At 35.1% G+C, this 19,665-nt stretch overlaps 1 protein-coding gene across 5 annotated transcripts in view, besides 1 other annotated feature; it reads right to left on the bottom strand.

The window, feature by feature from the left end:
• PCDH11Y (protocadherin 11 Y-linked) overlaps nt 1-19,665 on the bottom strand; it is a 741,933-nt gene that overhangs the window by 14,402 nt on the left and 707,866 nt on the right. The gene's annotated exons all lie outside the window — the stretch shown is intronic.
• Nucleotides 17,340-18,300: an enhancer, noted in NCBI's record as "OCT4-NANOG hESC enhancer chrY:5577568-5578528 (GRCh37/hg19 assembly coordinates)". NCBI's record gives its function as "activates a minimal SCP1, AML or CMV promoter by ChIP-STARR-seq in naive and primed H9 embryonic stem cells {active_cell/tissue: H9 hESC(naive and primed)}" and the evidence as "EXISTENCE:reporter gene assay evidence [ECO:0000049][PMID:30033119]".

Raw genomic sequence — 19,665 nt, 5'->3', positions numbered from 1 at the left:
GTAGAACTATAGAACATGAGTGAATTTTATTGTACGTAAATATAAAAAACAGCAATGAGTGATGTCAACTGTTGAGAAATTTTACTTTTTATAAATTATCTTTTGCCTCCTTTATTCAATTCAGAATTATTTTTTCCAGAAAAATATCCTAATCAAATTAAATAGTATTGCATCCAAATAATACATGCTTCTTTGTGGACTCACTGCTTGAAATATTTTTAATACAAAGTTATCAAATTCAAAACATAATTTTGAAAATAATGTGTGGAAATATTTAAAAAGATAAGAATATCATTTATTTACAGAAACCATAGGATAAACGATAATACAAAGGTTTTCTAAGACACTTAGCCTCATACATTTTCTACCTTCACAAAGCTAGAAAAATGACATAATGATTTTTGTTCAGGTGCATGGTATTAAGAGAAGAGCAGAACAGGAAGGAAGAATTTGGTTATTTTTAGAGAAAGAAACTGTCCATATAATCTTCACTATTTTCTTAACTTTGGGTTGCAACCACTAGTTAATTTCAAATAACTTTATAAATGATTAGTATAATTTGTTTTCACACTTAGGTCTCCAGAAAAGAAAAAAAAAATTCTCTTTTTCTTCTCTCTGAACATGTGTGCTTGCTGAGTGATAATGGCAATTCAAGTTTTTGTACATAATTTTAAAAAATAAAAATAGAGATTCAATTTGTTATAGAGTCCAGTGACTGTCATTACCCTATCATGCTTAGTACCAAAGAATAGGATGTAAAATAAGTTATAGTAAGACTAATAGCTCCGCATTAGATAACCATTTATCTTTCTTTATTTAGAGCTCACTTAAAATAAACGTGTCCCTAGGAGATTAACGTTTAAAATGTTCTATATTTTTTGCACAATTATATTTGAGAAATAGTTGGGAATATAGTTTTATATATTTCAGATAATATTAAACCATAATTGCAGGCATGAAAATACATGAACACACATATAACTTTACTTTCAAACAAAATTTAATTTCCTGGTCATCAGAAAAGCCATTTATCTGGCAGCCTGAAATTTCACAAAAAATAATACATCATAGTTTCAATATCGAGATTGTAGCCTATTTGTGATGAAGAAATTGATGCAAAGTCATTTTCACTGGAAAATGATATAATTTATAATTATTCCTTTTTAACAATTTTCGTGAGATGTAATTTATATCTTAAAATTCACCCATTTAACATGAGAAATTCAGTGGTTTTTAGTATATTCACAGCATTGTGCAACCATCTCAATTCTGGGACATCTTTATCACTTCAAAAAGAAACTATTAGCAGCCACTGCCCATTTCCTGTCAAACTCCAGAGCCCTAAGCAATCTCTAATCTACTTTCTGTCTCAATAGATTTGCCTATACTGTACAAATAATAGAAATGCAATCCTTTATTCGGACAGTTGGGTAAGTGGTCTGTTGTATTTAGCATAATGCTTTCGAATTTCATTCATGTTGTAGTATGTATCAGTACTTCAGTTCTTTTTTTATTACCCAAGATTATCTTTTATAAGGATATGCTACTTCTTATTTATCCATTCATCGGATCATGGACATTTGGGTTGTTTTTATCTTTTGGCTATCATGAACAATGCTTTTATTAACATTTATGTAAAAGTTTGTGTGCTGGGTCTTACACCAACTCTGTTTACCATTTGAGGAACTGCCAAATTGTTTTCCAAATTGGGTGCACTATTTTACAGAAACATCAGAAATGCATGAATGTTCCCATTTCTTTACGCACTTACCAAGATTCGTTATTATTTGTCTTTTTTATTACAGCAATCTTAGGAGTAAGAAGTGCTATCTCATTGTGATTTAGATTTGCATATCCCTAACTGCTAATGAAGTTAAATATTTTTTGATATACTTACTAGTAATTTGTTTATATTCTTTGGAAAAATATGTCTATTTGTATTTTTTACCCATTTAAAAAGTATATCTTTTGCATTACTATTGTTGGATTTTACAAGTTCTTTTTATGGTCTAAATATAAGACTCTTATAAGATATACAATTTACAAATATTTTCTCACATTCTGTGGTTTGTCTTTTCACTTTCTCGATGATATCCTTTGACGTACAGAAGTTTTGAAGTTGATGAGGTATAATGTATTTTTTTGTTGTTGCTTGTACTTTTAGTGTCAGATCTAAGAAAACTTTGCTTAATGCAAAGTCATAAAGGTTTGCTCCTGTGATTTCTAATAGTTTTATAGCTTCTGTTCTCATATTAAGGTCAATGATCCATTTGGAGTGGTTATTTCTATGCATTTTGTAAGGAAGGTATCTAAAAATTATCCTTTTGCATGTGGATATCCAGCAATCCCAATGCCACTTGTGGAAAGACTATTTATTATTTATTGACTTTAATTGGCTGAAAATCAATTGTCCATTGATTGCTATTGGTTTGAGGAAAGTTTTAAAATGGAAAAGGCTTAGTTATCCAACTTTGTTCTTATTTTTCACAATTATTTTGGCTAATCTAGTTCTCTTAAATTCCCATGGTTTTAGGATTAGCGTCTTTTTTTTTTTTTTTGAGACGGAATTTCCCTCTTGTTGCCCAGGCTGGAGTGCAATGGCACGATCTCCGGCTCACTGCAACCTCTGCCTCCTGGGTTCAATCAATTCTCCTGCCTCAGCCTCCCAAGCAGCTGGCATTACAGGCATGTGCCACTACACCCAGCTAATTTTTAGTAGAGACGAGGTTTCTCCATGTTGGTCAGGGTGGTCTCGAACTCCCAACCTCAGGTGATCCGCCCGCCTCGGCCTCCCAAAGTGCTGGGATTACAGGCGTCAGCCACTGCACCCAGCTCCAGATTAGCGTCTTATTTCTGCAAAATTCAAGTTGAATTGTGTCGAATCTGAAGATCAATTTGTGAAGGATTGCATCTTATAATATTGTCTTACAAATTAAGGACATGGGATGTCTTTTCACTTATTTAGATTGTTAATTTCTTTCACCAATAGTTTAGAATTTTTAGAAGATAAGAAGGACTTTTGTTAAATTTATTTCTCAGCATTTTATTTCATTTTATTCTACTGTAAATGAGATTCTCTTAATTTTTTAAGAAATGTTTAATGCTAGAATATAGAAATACACTCAATTTTTAATATATTGCTCTTATACCTTGAAGCACTGCTGAAGTATTAGTTTTAACAAGTTTTTAATAGATTTCATAAGATTTTCTGTATAAGAAACTCATATCATCTTCAAATAGAGATAATTCTACTTCTTTCTTTGCAATCTGGATGTTTTAGTATCTTTTATTTATTTATTTATTTTGCCTAGTTACTTGTGGTAAAACCTCTAGTACAATGTTTAATGTTTAATAGAAGTGGTAAGTATGGACATCCTATGTCTTGCTTCTGATCTTATGGGAAAAGCATTGAGTATTTCACCATTAAATGTTTTGGAATTTCTCTTGTTGTTTCTTCTTTAACCAATTTATTACTTAGGAAGATCTTGTTTAATTTCTAAATATTTGTTAATTTTCCAAATTTCTTTTGTTATTCATTTCTAATGTTCTTTTGTTTTGATAAAAAGACATATTCTGGATGAGTTCAATCTTTTCAAATTATTGAGGCTTCTTTTATAGCCTACCATATAGTCTATCCTGGAAAATCATGCCTGTGCAGTTTCATAGTATATGTATTCTGCTCTTGTAGTCAGATACATGTCTGCTGGTTCTAGTTGGGCTAGAGTGCTGTTTGAGTCTTCTTTTTATTGATCTACTGCCTAGTTGTTCCATTATTGAAAAAGAAATATAGAAATATCTAACTATTATTGAAGTGTCTATTTCTCTCTTCAATTCTGTCAAATTTGCTCCATGAATTTGGTGGCACTGGAGTTAGGTGCATGTATGTTTGTAGTTATTATGTTTTTCTGATAGTTTGGCCATTTTTTCATGATAAAATGTTCCTCTTTATTTCTGGTAACATATTTTAAAGTCTTTTATTGCCGGATATTAGTGTAGTCACTTCAGCTTTCTCATGATTCTTACTTACATAGTATAATGATTTTCCGTAATTTTACATTCAATGCATTGAATCTGGGTTGTTCATACTGTAGGCATATATTCAGATCTTATTTTGTATTCTGACACTGTTGGCCTTGTTTTATGTTGTTTAATCCATTTACTTTGTTATTAATATCATGAACTGATATCCGTCATTTTTCTTTTTATTTTCTATGTGTTTCATGGTTTCCCCATTTCTCCTTGCAGCTTTCTTTTGCATTAGGTGAATACATTCTAGTGTAATATTTTAATGCTTTTTATGATATTTTTCACTATACATGTGCGGGTATGTATATGTGTGTGTATGTGTGTATGAGTGTTATTCTCTTAGTGTCTAGTGCTTGAAACTTAATTTATCATAGTTGTTTTTGACTTAATGTAAGTTAATTCCATGGGACATAGAGATATTACTCCTATATACCTATATTTACTATTTACTTTTCTGTAACATATATATGTAAAAAATTCAATAACTACATTGCCATAATTATTAATTTATGTATTTTTAATGAAGCTGATAAAAGGGGAGTAGTACATAATTATAAATTATATTTTTTTAACCTTCCTATTTTACAATTTTGTTCTTTTATTTCTTTTCCTGTGAATTCTAGTTATAATCTGGCATCATTTCCTTACTCCAATACTTTGCTTCTACCTATCTTTGTGCTAATGTTGTAATTATGTATTATTATTGTATATGAATTTCTATATGTTATAGACTGAACAAAATGATATATAATTGTGTATATATAATTATATATGTATATATCTTATACAATTGTTTATATATAGATGCATATGTCTTGTCTTGTCTTATACAAGGGTTTTTCAAATTCATTAAGAGGAGAAAAAAGAAAAAACAAAATTATACTGTCTTTTACGTTTACCTACATAATTGCTTTTACTGCCAATATTGTGTTTTTTAATGTGGTTTCAAATTACTATCTTGAGTCTCTGACTTTCAGTCTGAAGAATTTCCTTTAGTATTTTATGTAACATGGATATGCTAGCAATAAATTGTCTCAATATTTGTTTATCTAGGAAGGTTTGTATTTCACTTTCATTTCTGACCAATATTTTGCTGGATAAAAAATTATTTCTTACCTTTTTTTTTTCTTACGACTCTTTGTTATTTCACTGCCTTCTTGCCTTCTGGTATCCACTGAAAGTCTTTTTTTTCCCTCCAAAATTTTCTTATTTTCTTTATCTTTCAGTATTTTTACTGAAATGTGTCCATGTGGATCTCTGTGTTTATCAGACTTCATTAAATTTATTGTGTATATATGACTTTTATCAAATTGAGAAATTTAATAACATTATTTCTTCTAGTATTATTTCCACTCCTTTTTCTTCTTTCTTTCTGATACCCACTTTCCTCATAATTGTTCTTTATTTCTTTTTTACTTCAATGAAGTGAATAGATTAAACAACAAAAAACAAGGCAAACATTGTCAGATAGAATAAAAAATAAGATCTGAATATATGCCTTTTTCTTTGTTCTTTTTTCTCTCTTTTTCTTTAGATTGCATAATATCTATCAACCTAAATTCGAGTGTTCTGATTCATTCTTCTATTGGTTCAAATGCACTGTTGAATCACTCTAGTCAATTTTACATATTGATAACTGTACTTTTCAACTCCAGAGTTTCCATTTGGTATTTTTGTGCTTTTTATTTCGTTATTGATACTCTGTATTTGATAAAATATTGGCATTTTACCTTCCTTTACTTATTTAAGCAGAGTTTCTTTTAAATCTTTGAATATGATTATAATGGCTTCTTTGTAGTTATTATCTGTTAAATCTGACAACAGAGCCCTCTCACAGTTAGTTTTTGTTGCTTGCTTTTTTTCATGTAGAGCTCACAGTGTAACTCATAATTTTGTCACAGAATACCTCATAATTTTATCAAAAACTAGACATTTTAGATTATATATTGCATCAATTGTGAATACTGATACCACTACCCTCTCTGGGACTTGATTTTGTTGTTGTTTATTTGCTTGTTTTGTTACTTGGCTAGAATATTTGGCGAAGTCTATATCCCATTGAATGTGTTACCTCTGATGTCATGCATCAGAGGGTACGGCCTTAAATATGGACATACACTGAGATGTCAGTAATTTTAGCTAAGGTTTATTTGACAGTCTCTTTCCCTGATTTTTCAGCTAAACTACTTGCTTCATTTGGTATCCGTTCTCAGCCAGTTAGGCTCCACTCATTACTGGCTGATTGCTTGATTGTTTTTGGCAATGTCCTAAGGCATAAATTGCTCAGCAGTCTGATACAATCAAATGTGAGCCCCTTTGCAGGGGTAGTCTTTAAGGCAACATTTGGATGTTGGTTCTGACCCAAGCGGGCTTTTTCTCTGCACTTTTTCCTGGTTGTCTCTGCTAAACCTACAGCTAATCTACAGTCTTTTAAATTTTAATGTAATTTTTATTTTTTTGTCTCATGGAGCTATCAGCTTCTTCTTATTGCCTTACCAGCAAAATCTCCACTGTTTTTGACAACTCCCTTAGCTTGAACTTCCCCCATACTTTGCTCCAAATGAGTCCCTTCTCTTGAGGATAGCTTTGGAGCTCTCTGTATTTATCATCCCCTGGGCAATATATGTGTGCCACTGCTCTCACGATAAAAATGAGGACAGTAGCCTGCTTCTTTTAGATGTATAACCCTGCTTTTTAGCAGACAGGTGAAGTATCCTCTGGTCTTCTTAACATGCCTAACCCAGCATGGGATTTCTACTCTATAAGTGAATTGGAGTATGGGCAACTAGGCACAGTGTTCTTAACCTATAATAGAGCTTCTGCAACACAGACCTGTTAGAAATTAGAAATCCTGGAAGCCTGTGCCTCAGTGGAAGATACCTTAACCCTAGACTTGGAGTTGGAGGGAAAAGGAGTTCTGCATTTTTGAATGACCCTGGAAGGGATGAAGCTTTTGTCACACTAAATTGTGTGGCGAGATATGGATTATGATTCAAATGCCACAGGCTCTCACTATTCTTGCAGAATATTAGTAGATTTTCTAGAATAAGTGCTTCTCCATTTGCTGTTTGCTCTTAGGATAAACTCTTAGGTTGCTTCCAACTTTTGGCTGCTGTGAATAATGCAGCTATGAATATGGGTACTGATACCTGTTTGAATCTCTATTTCAACTACTTTTGAGTATATACCCAGAGTAGAATGGTTGGGTCATATGGTAATTTTATGTTTAATATTTTTTTTTTTTTTTATGAATCACCATACCATTTTCCTTAGTAGCTACGCCATTTTACATTCCCATCAGCAATGTATTAGCGTTTTAATTATTTCACATCATTGTTCTTTCTTTCTTTCTTTCATCTCTTGAGACTTATTCACTATCACAAGAATAGCATGGGAAAAACCCACCCTGATGATTCAATTACCCCTCACTGGTTCCCTCCCACAACACGTGGAGATTATGGGAGCTTCAATTCAAGATGAAATTTGAGTGGGGACACAGGCAAACCACACCATTCTGCCCCTGGCAACTCCCAAATCTCATGTCCTCACATTTCAAAACAAATCATTCCTTCTCAACAGTTCCCCAAAGTCTTGATTCAGCAATAACTCAAAAGTTCACGGTCCAAAGTCTCATCTGAGACAAGGCAACTCCCTTCCACCTATGAGCCTGTAAAATCAAAAGCAAGTTAGTTACTTCCTAGATACAATGGAGGTACAGGCATTGGGTAAATATGCCTATTCCAAATGGGAGAAATTGGCCAAAATGAAGAGACTACAGGCCTCATGAAAATGTGAAATCCAGTGAGGTGGTCAAATATTAAAGCTCCAAAATGATCACCTTTGACTGCATGTTTCACATCCAGGTCACACTGATGCAAGAGGTGGGTTCTCGTGGTCTTGGGCAGCTCTGCCCCTGTGGCTTTGCAGAGTACAGCCTCACTCCTGGCTGCTTTCACAGGCTGGCATTGAGTGTCTGTGGCTTTTTCAGGTGCATGGTGCAAGCTGTGATTGGATCTACCATTCTGGGGTCTGGAGGATGGTGGCTCTTTTCTCATCACTCCACTAGGCAGTGCCTCAGTGGGGATTCTGTGTGGGGACTCCCACCTCACATTTCCCTTCTGCACTGCCCTAGCAGAGGTTCTCCGTGAGGATTCTGCCCCTGCAGCACAACTCTGCCTGGACACCCAGCAATTTCCATACATCCTCCAAAATTTAGGTGGAGATTCCCAGTTCTTGACTTCTGTGCACCCACAGGCCCAATACCACATGTAAGACACCAATGTATGGGGCTTGAACCCTCTGAAACAATGTCTTGAGGTGTACATTGGCCCCCTTTAGCCATGGCTGTAATGCAGGGCACCAGGTCCCAAGACTGCACAAAGCAGCAAAACCCTGGATCTGGCCCACAAAACAATTTTTTTCCTCCTAGACACCCCCAGCTTGTGACTGTAGGTGCTGCCATGAGGACCTCTGACATGTCCTGGAGAAAGTTTTCCTACTGTTTTGGTGATTAATATTTGGCTTCTCAATACTTATGAAATTTTCTCCAGCCAGCTTTGAATTTTTCCTCAGAAAATGGGTTTTTCTTTTCTATTACATCATCAGGCTGCAAATTTTCCAAACTTTTATGCTCTGCTCCCATTTTAAACATAAGTTCCAACTTCAAACCATTTCTTTGTGAATGAATAAAACTGAATGCATTTAAGAGCACCCAAGTTACCTCTTGAATGCTTTACTGCTTAGAAATTTATTCTGCCAGATACCCTAAATCATCTCTCTCATGTTCAAAGTTCCACAGATATCTAGGGCAGGGGAAAAACGCTACCAATCTGTTTGCTAAAGCATAGCAATAATCACCTTTGCTCCAGTTCTCAATAACTTCCTCATCTCCTTCTGGGACCACCTCAGCCTGAACTTTTTGGTCAACACCATTCAACAAGTCTCTAGGAACGTTGAAACTTTCCCACATCTTCCTGTCTTCTGAGCCCTACAAACTGTTCCAATCTCTGCCTGTTACCCAGTTCCAAAGTCACTTCCACATTTTCGGGTATCTTAATATAATAACAGTGCCCTAATCCTGGTACCAATTTGCTACATTAGTCCATTTTCTTACTGCTATGAAGAAATACCCAAAACTGGGTAATTTAAAAAGAAAAAGAAGTTTAATGAACTCACAGTTCCACATGGCTGGGAAGGCCTCACAATCATGGCAGAAGAAAAAAGGCATGCCTTACATGGCAGCAGGCAAGAGAGCATGTGCAGGGGAACTGCCCTTTTGAAAACCATCAGATCTCTTGAGACTTATTTACTACCATAAAAACAGCACAAGAAAAACCTGCCACCGTGATGTAATTATCTCCACTGGGTCCCTCCCACAACACATGGGGATTATGGGAGCTACAATTCAAGGTGAGACTTGGGTGTGGACACAGCCAAGCCATATCAGAGGACATAAGATTTTTTGATACAGGCTTGCAAAGTGTAACAATCACACCATGAAATATGGGTTATCCATCCCCTCAAGCATTTATCCTTCATGTTATAAACAATCTAATTATATTCTTTTAGTTATTTTTTAATGTACAGTTAAATTATTATTGACTATAGTCATCCTGTTTTACTATCAAATATTAGGTATTATCCATTTATTCTAACTACTTTTTGGAATGATTAACCATCCCTGCCACCCACTCACTTTCTCTACTATGCTTCCCAGCCTCTGGTAATCATATCCTACACTCTATCTCCATGAGTTCAATTGTTTTAATTTTCAGATCTCACAAATAATTGAGAACATGCAATGCTGATCTTATTGTGCTTGGCTTATTTCACTTAATATGATAACCTCCAGTTCTATCCATGTTGTTGCAAATGACTGAATCTCATTTTTTATGTGAATGAATAGTACTACATTGTGTATAAATTTTATATTTTCTTTATCCATTTATCTGTTGAGGAACACCTAGGTTGTTTCCAAATCTTGTCTATTGTGAACAGAGTTGTCAAAAAAGGGGTGGAGATATCCAATTTCTGTACTTTGGGGTATATACCAAGCAGTAGAATTGTTGAATCATATAGTAGCTCTATTTTTAGTTTTGTGAGGACCCTCCAAACTGTTCTCTATAGTGGTTGTACTAATTTACATTCCCACAAATAGTGCATGGCGGTTCCCTTTTCTCCACACCCTCTCCAGTTTTTGTTATTGCCTGTCTTTTAGATAAAAGCCATTTTAACTGGGGCGAGATGATATCTCATTGTAGTTTTATTTGCATTTATCTGATAATCAATGATATTGTGCACACTTTCATATGCCTGCTTGCCATTTGCATGTCATCTTTTGAGAAATGTATATTCACATTTTGTGTCCATTTTTTGATTAAATTATTAGTGTTTTGTTTTTTTTAATACAGTTGTTTGAGCTGAGCTCCTTAAATGTTCTGCTTGTTAAGACCTTGTCTGGGGGGTAATTTGCAAATATTTTCTTCCATTCTGTGGGTTGTCTCTTCACTTTGTTGATTGTTTTATTTGCTGTGCAGAAGCTTCTTAACTGGATATGATTCCATTTGTACATTTTTGCTTTCATTGCCTGTTCTTGTGGGGTATTACAGAAAACTTTGCCTGGATTGATGTTGAGCATTTTTCAAATGTTTCCTTTTAATACTTTTCTTTTAATGGTTTCACAGTTTGAGGTCTTAGATTTAAGTCTTTAATCCATTTAGATTTAATTTTTGTATATGGTGAGAGATAGGGATCTAGTCTCATTCTTCAGCATGTGAATATCCAGTTTTCCCAGCACTATTTATTGAAGAGACTGTCTTTTCCCCAGTGTATGTTCTCAGCATTTTTGGAGAAAATGAGTTCACTGTATGTGTTTGGATTTGTTTGTAGGTTCTCAATTCTGTTCCTTTGGTCTATGTGTCTGTTTTTATGTCAGGTTTATGCTGTTTGGTTACTATAGCTCTGTAACATAATTTGAAGGCAGGTAATATAATTCCTCTGGTTTTGTTCTTTTTGCCTAAGATAACTGTGGCTATTCTGGGTCTTTTGTGGTCCCATATGAATTTTAGGATTCTTTTTTCTATTGCTATAAAGAATGTCATTGGTATTTTGATAGGGATTACATTAAATCTGTAGTGGCTTTGTGTAATATGGACATTTAAAAAATATTAATTTTTCTAATTCATGAACATGGAATATTTTACCTTTTTTGGTGTTCTCTGAAATTTTTTTTGTCAGTGTTTTATAGTTTTTTATTATAGCGATCTTTTACTTCTTTGGTTATGTTAATTCTTAGGTATTTACTTTTGTGTGTGGCTATTATTAATTTGACTACTTTTTAATTTCAATTTCAGTTTATTCACTGTTGGGATATAGAAATGCTACTGATTATTGTATTTTTATTTCATATCGTGCAAGTTTACTAATTTTTTTTATCAGTTCTAATGGTTTTTTTGCACTCTTTAGTTTTTTCCCAATATGGAATTATGTCATCAGCAAAAAAAGATAATTTGACTTCTTCCTTTCCAATTTAAATGTACTTTATGTATTTCTCTTGTCTGATTGCTCTAGTTAGGAATTCCAGTATTATATTGAATAACAGTGGTGAAAATGGGCATCCTTATCATGTTGCAAATCTTAGAGGAAAGGCTTTTATTATTTTACTATTCAGCGTGATATACTAGCTGTGGGTCTGTCATATATGGCTTTTATTATGTGGTAGTGTGTTCAGTTTTTCAGAGTTTTTCTCATTAAGGGGTATTGAATGTAATTATTTTGACTTCAATTGAAATAATCATAGTTTTTTTTTCTTTCATTCTATTGATATGATTGATTTGCTTATGCTGAACCATCCTTGTGTAATAGGAATAAAGACTTCTTGGTCATGATAAATAATCTTTTTAGTGTATTGTTTAATTCAGTTTGCTAATTTTTTGTTAAGGTTTTTACATCAATATTCATCAGAGACATTGGGGCCTGTTGTTTTGTTTTACTTTAACATGTCTTTGACTGGCTTTGTTATCATGCTAATATTAGATTCGTAGAATGAGTTTGGAAGTATTTTCTCATCCTCTATTTTTAGGGATAGTTTGAGCAGGCTTGGATTTAGTTCTTTAAATTTCTGGTACAATTCAGTAGTGAAGCCATCAGGTCTTGGGCTTTTATATCCTGGGAGAATTTTTATTACAGTTTTGATCTCATTTTTTGTTATTGGTTTGTTCAGGTTTTAGAGTTCTTCATGGTTTAATCTTGGTAGATGGCATGTGCCCAGAAATTTATCCATTTCTTACAGATTTTCCAATTTTTTGGCATATAGTTCCTCATAGTCAAAATTTTCTCACTGATATATTTTTTGCAAAGGTTGTTTCAATCCCCCTTTGGCTTTTATTCACCTTATTCTTAAGATGTTGGTCACAGAGATGGAAAAACAGCAATGACTACTCTGGCTTCTTCCTGCTGACGGGTGGTACAATTGGGGGAGGTTGGTCCCAGGAGAATATGAGTAAAACCGCTGCTTTGCAGCCATCTGCGTGTACTCACTGGTGTATGACAAAAACATTAATATTCTCACCCACAGTTCTAATACAGCACTTAAGTGAACAACAAACCATAGGTTGTTAGAAAGACAGATTGGGATAAACAGGAAAGAGCAAATTAAATATACCATCTTCGGTATAGTTGAATATCTTTTGAGTCAGTGTCTAAGTCCCGAGACTAGATCAGCTCAGTTAAACAGCTGTTTCCCACATGAGGAGGTAGCACTTCAGATTGGCTAGACCTCTCTATTTTATGAAGGCAAACTAATTTTAATAAGAGGCAGTTTTATAGAGACAGAAGAAAAACAAAGGTTAATGTTGGGTACAATTTATCCAGGTGTTAGATTTAAAGCATCTTTAGGTATAGAGGAGGACAGTAGTAACAATCTGACACATTTTTCTCTCTCCTGTATTACAAGCAATAAGCTTTAACTTACAGGGCCTCAGGAAAGAGGTAGTGACAATTTTATTGAGGCCAAGTCAAAAAAGAAAAAGGAAACAAAACTTTGAAAGCATTAGTATGGAGACTTGTAGTCTGGAAAGAATTTAGTATTCATTCCAAGTTGCAGAAAATTATAAAAACTCAAAATAGGGGACTAGAATGTAATAAGAGGTGTACTATAGTTTTTTCTGAAATATAATTTTTCTCTCTCCAATCCTTGTTTTTACTAAAAACAAATCACAGCAAGACTACTTTATTTGTAAAATAAGTTTTAGTCTTACTATACTTGGCCTGAGTATTTGCATAAAGTCAGCAAGAATAATTATTTACCACACAGTCCCTTTTTAAATTCGCATTGCTGGAATTTTATTCCATAGGAAATCTTAGATTAAACTTTTTTAAAGCCTTTAAGTGTAGCCACAGATTTATCTATGCTTACAAATAACTGTATTAATTGGGTGAATTTCTCACCTCAAGGTGCCAAGATAATTTCGGCTTTTTGGGCCTGTCAGGAAGTGACATTCTTTACTTACCACATGGCAGGACCCCTAAACAGGGACTGTGTAGACAAGTTACGAGGTCAGTTTTCCCAAGGGACTTTTATTGGCTCTATAAGTCAACTTTGACTCCTTAAAAGAATCTAAAAGTATGCCATTTCATTCAATGCCATGGTAAAATAACCAGTGTCTCCAATTTTTTCCTGTTACAAAAGAAAAAAGATTCTTATCGAACTTATGCAAATAACTATACCTGTCATAAATTAAGTACACTTGGAAATAGTTTTCAAGTTCTGGAGAAATCAGGGAGAGAGAAATATGCTTCAGATTTTGCTCACAGGAGGGTACTTTACCAAATTATTTAAAGCTGTAGATATCTCACAAGAAAAAAAAAAGGTTTGCTGGACTCCAAAACAAAAAAAAAAAATTAGCAATGTTTTAAACAAATTCGTAGGAAGATTATTTTGGTTTTTCATTAATTCAGTCTATGTAATTAATTCCTGTTCTGCTTGATATTCATACACATTAGCTCCCTATGGGAGTCTTGGAAGTTCTTTCTTCTATTTTAATGTCACAATCTCCAAAGTTATCACAAACCTGCATTCAAGTGCACCCGTCAGAGTCCTATAGCTGATTATAAAACCAACCTGAAAAAAATCAAAATAAAACAACTGTGGCTGAAAAAAGTCTCAAAACAGCCATGATTAAAGTCTGGTCATCTCTGTGGCACATAATAACATAACAATCATAATTATTACTAAAAACATATACTGAGACATATCAGAATTACAAGAATCTCACACAATTCTGGAACACACACCAATAACACATTTATGCAAATACAGCCCAAAGAAGAAAGCCAAACACAATTTTCTACTTGACAATGCTTCCTGTATGATTTTGATATACCAAATAAGCCAAATATATCTCTTTTGGACTTTAGAGTATTTAATATCTGCTCCTAAAGCCTGATTAGATCAAAAAAGGGCTTAATTTACAATTTGACCATGGAAAGTTTGTCAAATATCAAATGTTTAAACACTTGATATTACAAAACAAATCCCAAGTAACTGTAAGTCATTTATTTAGCCCAAAAGGATAACTAAAGAAAATTTTAAAAGCAAAATTCTTTACTTGCTGATAGAGGGGAGATTCAGCTTTCCAAACAGGACTCAATAAAGACAGCTTGAAAACAACTGGATGTCTTCTCTCTCCCCCCTCTAATTTCTGTCGTTTATTCAAAAGGCATACAAAAATCTTTTATAATATTTTCATAATACACTAAAATATTGTTTAAAAGAGAGCACAAAATCTCACCTTTGCATTCATGTCTTATAGATGTTAAACCCAATTATTAATAAAATCTTACAAACAAATCTATACCATCTTAATCAGTTTGACCATGAGGTAAAATTTTCAGAAACCTCTTATAACTCTTTACAATTTTCTCTTAAACAGCAGGTCCATTCTCTAAGAAAAACATGTTATTCAGACACATGGGCACAGATTCTTGCCCACCATTAGTGTACTTTATTTTAATGTTTAACCTACAGAAAAACTAGATCATCTCCTTCAAATTTTAGCCATTTGTTAACACCCACAGAACTTCATTTACAAGATCAATCCTTCACAAACCCTTTGCAACTTGCTTCAAATTTGTTTTGTCCCATTACTCTTTTAAGAAATTTTTTTTTAAACTTCTGAGCTAGACAAAATTACATGCCCTTTAACAACAACAACAAAAATTCCCATGCCTTCTTATAACCTCTTACCAAAAACAAATTCTACTTTCCTTTCACAACATGAATGTAAAATTGTTTTTCCAGTAGTCTCAAGTACATGCTATGCTGTTAACCCTTAGCAACTTTTAGTTTTGGTAAAAAACCTGGTAAGCAAGCAATTTTAACCACGTATAACATTGCAGAGCCCATGACAAAGACAAAGCTGCATACAATGTCTGACTCTTCCCAGCCTAGCCAGGGAATCTGGCTAACTCTGTATGTCTCCAGACCTTATTTAGAATCTAATGACTGTAAAACAGACAAATCAACAATTATTAAAAGTCATAGAAGCCGTTTATTACCTTAAAGCATCTAGCAAACCATATCTGACCTGCCTAATTTACACCAAATGTATAAACTTTAAAAACATTTTTATTTTAGTTTACCAGTAATCTTTTAACTGTCTTTATTTTTCAAAGATTATCAGTCACATGACCTAAAACATGTTAAAGTTTCTTTCTGAAATTTGATCTAAGCGCTTATTATTCATTAAGCCAATTCATTAGAGCTCTTTTAAATAAACACTACATATATACATGTAGATACACACACAGACAGAAACAGAGAATCAAGACAGAGTTCCATCAACTGAGAAGTGTTTAAAGGCAGGGCAGGGACTTTAAAACAACATCTGCATGCATATAGCTCCATTATCTATGGAGCTCTCCAAAGAAAAATCCTTTTAAAATATTTTATTTTAGCCAGGATAAATAGCCAATATTTCTGGCATTTGAATCTTTCGTTGTTGTTGTTTTCTGAGACAGAGTCTTGCTCTGTCACCCAGGCTGGAGTGCAGTGATGTGATCTCGGCTCACTGCAACCTCCGCTTCCCCGGTTCAAGCGATTCTCCTGCCTCAGCCTCCCAAATACCTGGGACTACAGGTGCATGCCACAAAGCCCTGCTAATTTTTTGTATTTTTAGTAGAGATGGGGTTTCACCATGTTAGCCAGGATGGTCTCGATCTCCTGACCTGGTGATCTGACCAACTCAGCCTCCCAAAGTGCTGGGATTACAGGCGTGAGCCAGTGCGCCTGGCCTTGAATCTTTTTTACTAAAGGTAACCTCCTATGTGAAATCAATAAGCCATTACTAAGGGGACAGCTTAGCAACAGGCACACGAGGCGTCTCCAAAGAAATGGTAAGTGATTTTTACAAGATCTAGAATCTCCCCAAAGGTAGTTCAGATAAAAGAAAATTCAAGACCAGAAGCTCTCCATGGAGGGAAAAAATATCAATAAATGGCAAAATTTCTACAAGTATTAAACCTCAAAGGACTCACTCCAAAGCCAAAACTGAACCCAGGCCACCAATTGGAGAGGGTAAAGAGTTAGCAACTGACCCAGAGCAAAGGTGACTGCTGTTATTCTTCCCTGAGGGAGTCTTGAACATTTTCAAGCTTGCAAAGGATTTTAACTGCTCAGGAACCATGTTATTATTATGGATCCTTCTTTTAATTTAACCTTTTTCTTTTAATGGTATCCTCAGTTCCAATAGCGACTCAATTCAAAAAGTCTGGTAAAGTCTAGATCTCAAATTTCCAGGCTTTTACCATATCAGCAAAAGGTGTTTCCAGAAAGAGAGTAGAGGAGATATCTCCATAATCCCCATGATCCCCATGATTCCCAAGAATTTACTTTCAGAAATGGGCTTAAGATAGCAAAAGATGATAAAATCCCAACAAAGATGAGGACTTTTAAGACAAAGCTCACCCAGGGGCTTGGCATATTCAGGATGAAGAACATGCTGATTCATCTCAGACCGCTTGTCCTCTCAGACTGGCTACCTGACATAAACTCAAATATTCCAGCCCTCCAGATGGTACAGGCCCAAAAGAGAGTACCCCACATAGTCATAAAGTCATGCTCTCAAGGATGTAAAGCAAGACAAGAAGAAACCTTTATCTAGTTTTTGCTCCAGGGATCTGTAGCATAGTTTGTAACTGACGAACCTGCCGGGCTGGCTTGAGTAGCAAGCTGATAGGGGTCCTAAATACACATTCTATTCTGCGGTACCCCTCTTTATGACAGAATGGCATAGAAAGACTAATTCATAGTGCAAGGTACACCAGATTCACTACAGTCTCAGACTTGCCTCACAAATCCTTTTTCTCATTAATAAACAGTGATTTTTACAGATCACTCAACTGGTTTGCACAAAGAGAGAGAGGAGCCAGAAGCCTGATTGGTAAGAAATTCATTCTATTTCTTTTGCTGGCATGCCAGTTTTCCAAGTTCCCTTTCCCTTGGGGCCCTGGCGACCCTGCTCACTGCACTATAGTCACAAAGGAAAATCACCTTTTTCCATTTCATGGAGCCTTAGGCAAAAGCCTCTTAATTTTGCAAGATGCCACCCAATGGGCTGCATGGGGAAACCTCATTGGGGGAACCAAATTAACATTTTCCATCCCAGCTGTCACAAAATACACATAACAAAAGGGACAGACATTAGTCACCTTGCTGAACACCCAATATTGACCAATTTCCTTTGCTCCCTGTTTTCTTTGATCCATTCAAAGTGAGGAGGGACCTCTGACTGAGAATTCAATGGGTAGTGTAGGGCAATTTGAAGAGGGGATAATCACCCCTAGTCAGGCCTGTTGACTTCCACTAACAATTGCTTCAGGGCTTACCAAATGTGACCAGACAAATAAGGAGGCTTCTCTGAGTTAAGCCTGCTGGACTTTCATCAGCAATTTCTTCAGAGATACCATCCACAAATACAAACACACACAACAAAGATGAACAGAAGGCCTTCCAAACCGATTCCAGACCAGAGGAGCATTCCTTCAAACAGTCCCATATTCTTCACCCAACTGAGGAGATAGTTTCCCCATCTGAAAATCCTTGTGATAGGGCCAGTCCCTGTGACAGGGCTACAGTGCATCTTAGTAAGGCCAATAGATCAGGGGAAGGGTGGAGGTGATGGTAGTGCCTAGCATGTTCACCAGGTAGGTTCCAGACTATTTCTCCACTGCAATTAGGCCCAAGCCCTGTGGGTCAACAGCACCTCATCAGCAGAGACAGCACCAGAGATAGGCTTCAGTTAAATAAGCAGCTGCCAGAGATCACCTCTGTGTTCCTCATTCTGGTGGGGGGACTAACAAACTGTGGTCAGGGGATCCCAGATGAGCCCCCAAATTTATAACTTCCCAAGAGGTTCTTCCTGCCTGCTGCATAAAGAAAGACCATGCCATTGCAGGAAAGAGTTTAATAGACATGATGCCAGCCACCCCATGTGGGAGTCAGAGTTTATACTCAAATCATCTCATCCAAAGCTCATCAGTTAGGTGTTTTTCAAAGGCATTTTGGGGAAAGGGGTGGGGGTGGCCAGGTAATGAGTGCTCATTGCTGATTGCTTGGGGTGGAAACGAAATCATAGAGGGTCATAGCTGTCCTCTTGCAGGATGAATTGGGTGGGGTTGGTTGGTCCAGGTGGAGCCATGGGTGTCAGATATGCAAAAAAAAAAAAGAAAAATATATCTTAAAAGGCCAATCTACAATAGTGGTGTTATCGGCGGAATAATTGGGGAAGCTGCAGATCTTATAATCTTTAGATTAATGGCCGAAAATCTTTCATGTCTGCGCCTCAGCAGGACTCGGCTCCTCTCCTCAGCCTAGACTGATGGCCTCCCATTAGCTTTACAAAAGCCCTGTTGAGTTTTGGGTAAGACCTATTATCATTTAAACAACAGACTAAATGTCTCTCAAAGTTACCTTGTACTAATAGCCCAGGAATAATTAAGGGAAAGGTAAGATGGGGGGGTAGATTAGCTCAGATCTTGTTCACTTTTGTAATTGTCTCACTGATAACAATTTTTAGAAAGGCAGCTTCATTCATTTTAATGAAGGTGATTTTCCCTGATGATATGATTTAGCTTTTTGCTTTCTATTTTTTGTGTATCCATTGTATGTTTTTTGGTTTGAGATTACCATGAGGCTTGCGAATACTATCTTATACCTCATTTTTTAAGGTGGTAAAAACTTAACAGTACTTGCATAAACAAATAAGCAAAAAGTAAACTAATAAAGATTATATGCTTTAACTTTGTCCCCTGCTTTTCAAATTTTTGTTGTTAATATTTATATGTTATTGTACTGTTTATGTCTTGAAAAGTTGCTAAATTATTATTTTTGACAGGTTTATCATTTTGTCTTTCTACTTAAAAGTAGATTACACACCACAGTTACAGTGTTATAATATTCCGGTTTTTTGTGCATTTACTATTCCTAGTCAGTTTTGTACCTTCAAATGATTTCTTATTAATATCATTTTCTTTCTGATTCAAGTACACCCTCTAGCATTTTTTGTAGGAGAGGTCTGGTGTTAATGAAATATGTCAGCTTCTGTTTGTTTATAAAAGTCTTTATTTCTCCTTCATGTTTGA

The sequence above is a fragment of the Homo sapiens genome, chromosome Y, assembly GCF_000001405.40.
Source record: "Homo sapiens chromosome Y, GRCh38.p14 Primary Assembly".
Classification (NCBI taxonomy): Eukaryota; Metazoa; Chordata; class Mammalia; order Primates; family Hominidae; genus Homo; species Homo sapiens.
The sequence above is the reverse complement of the archived record's forward strand: the minus strand, read 5'-3'. Positions and strand labels throughout refer to the sequence as shown.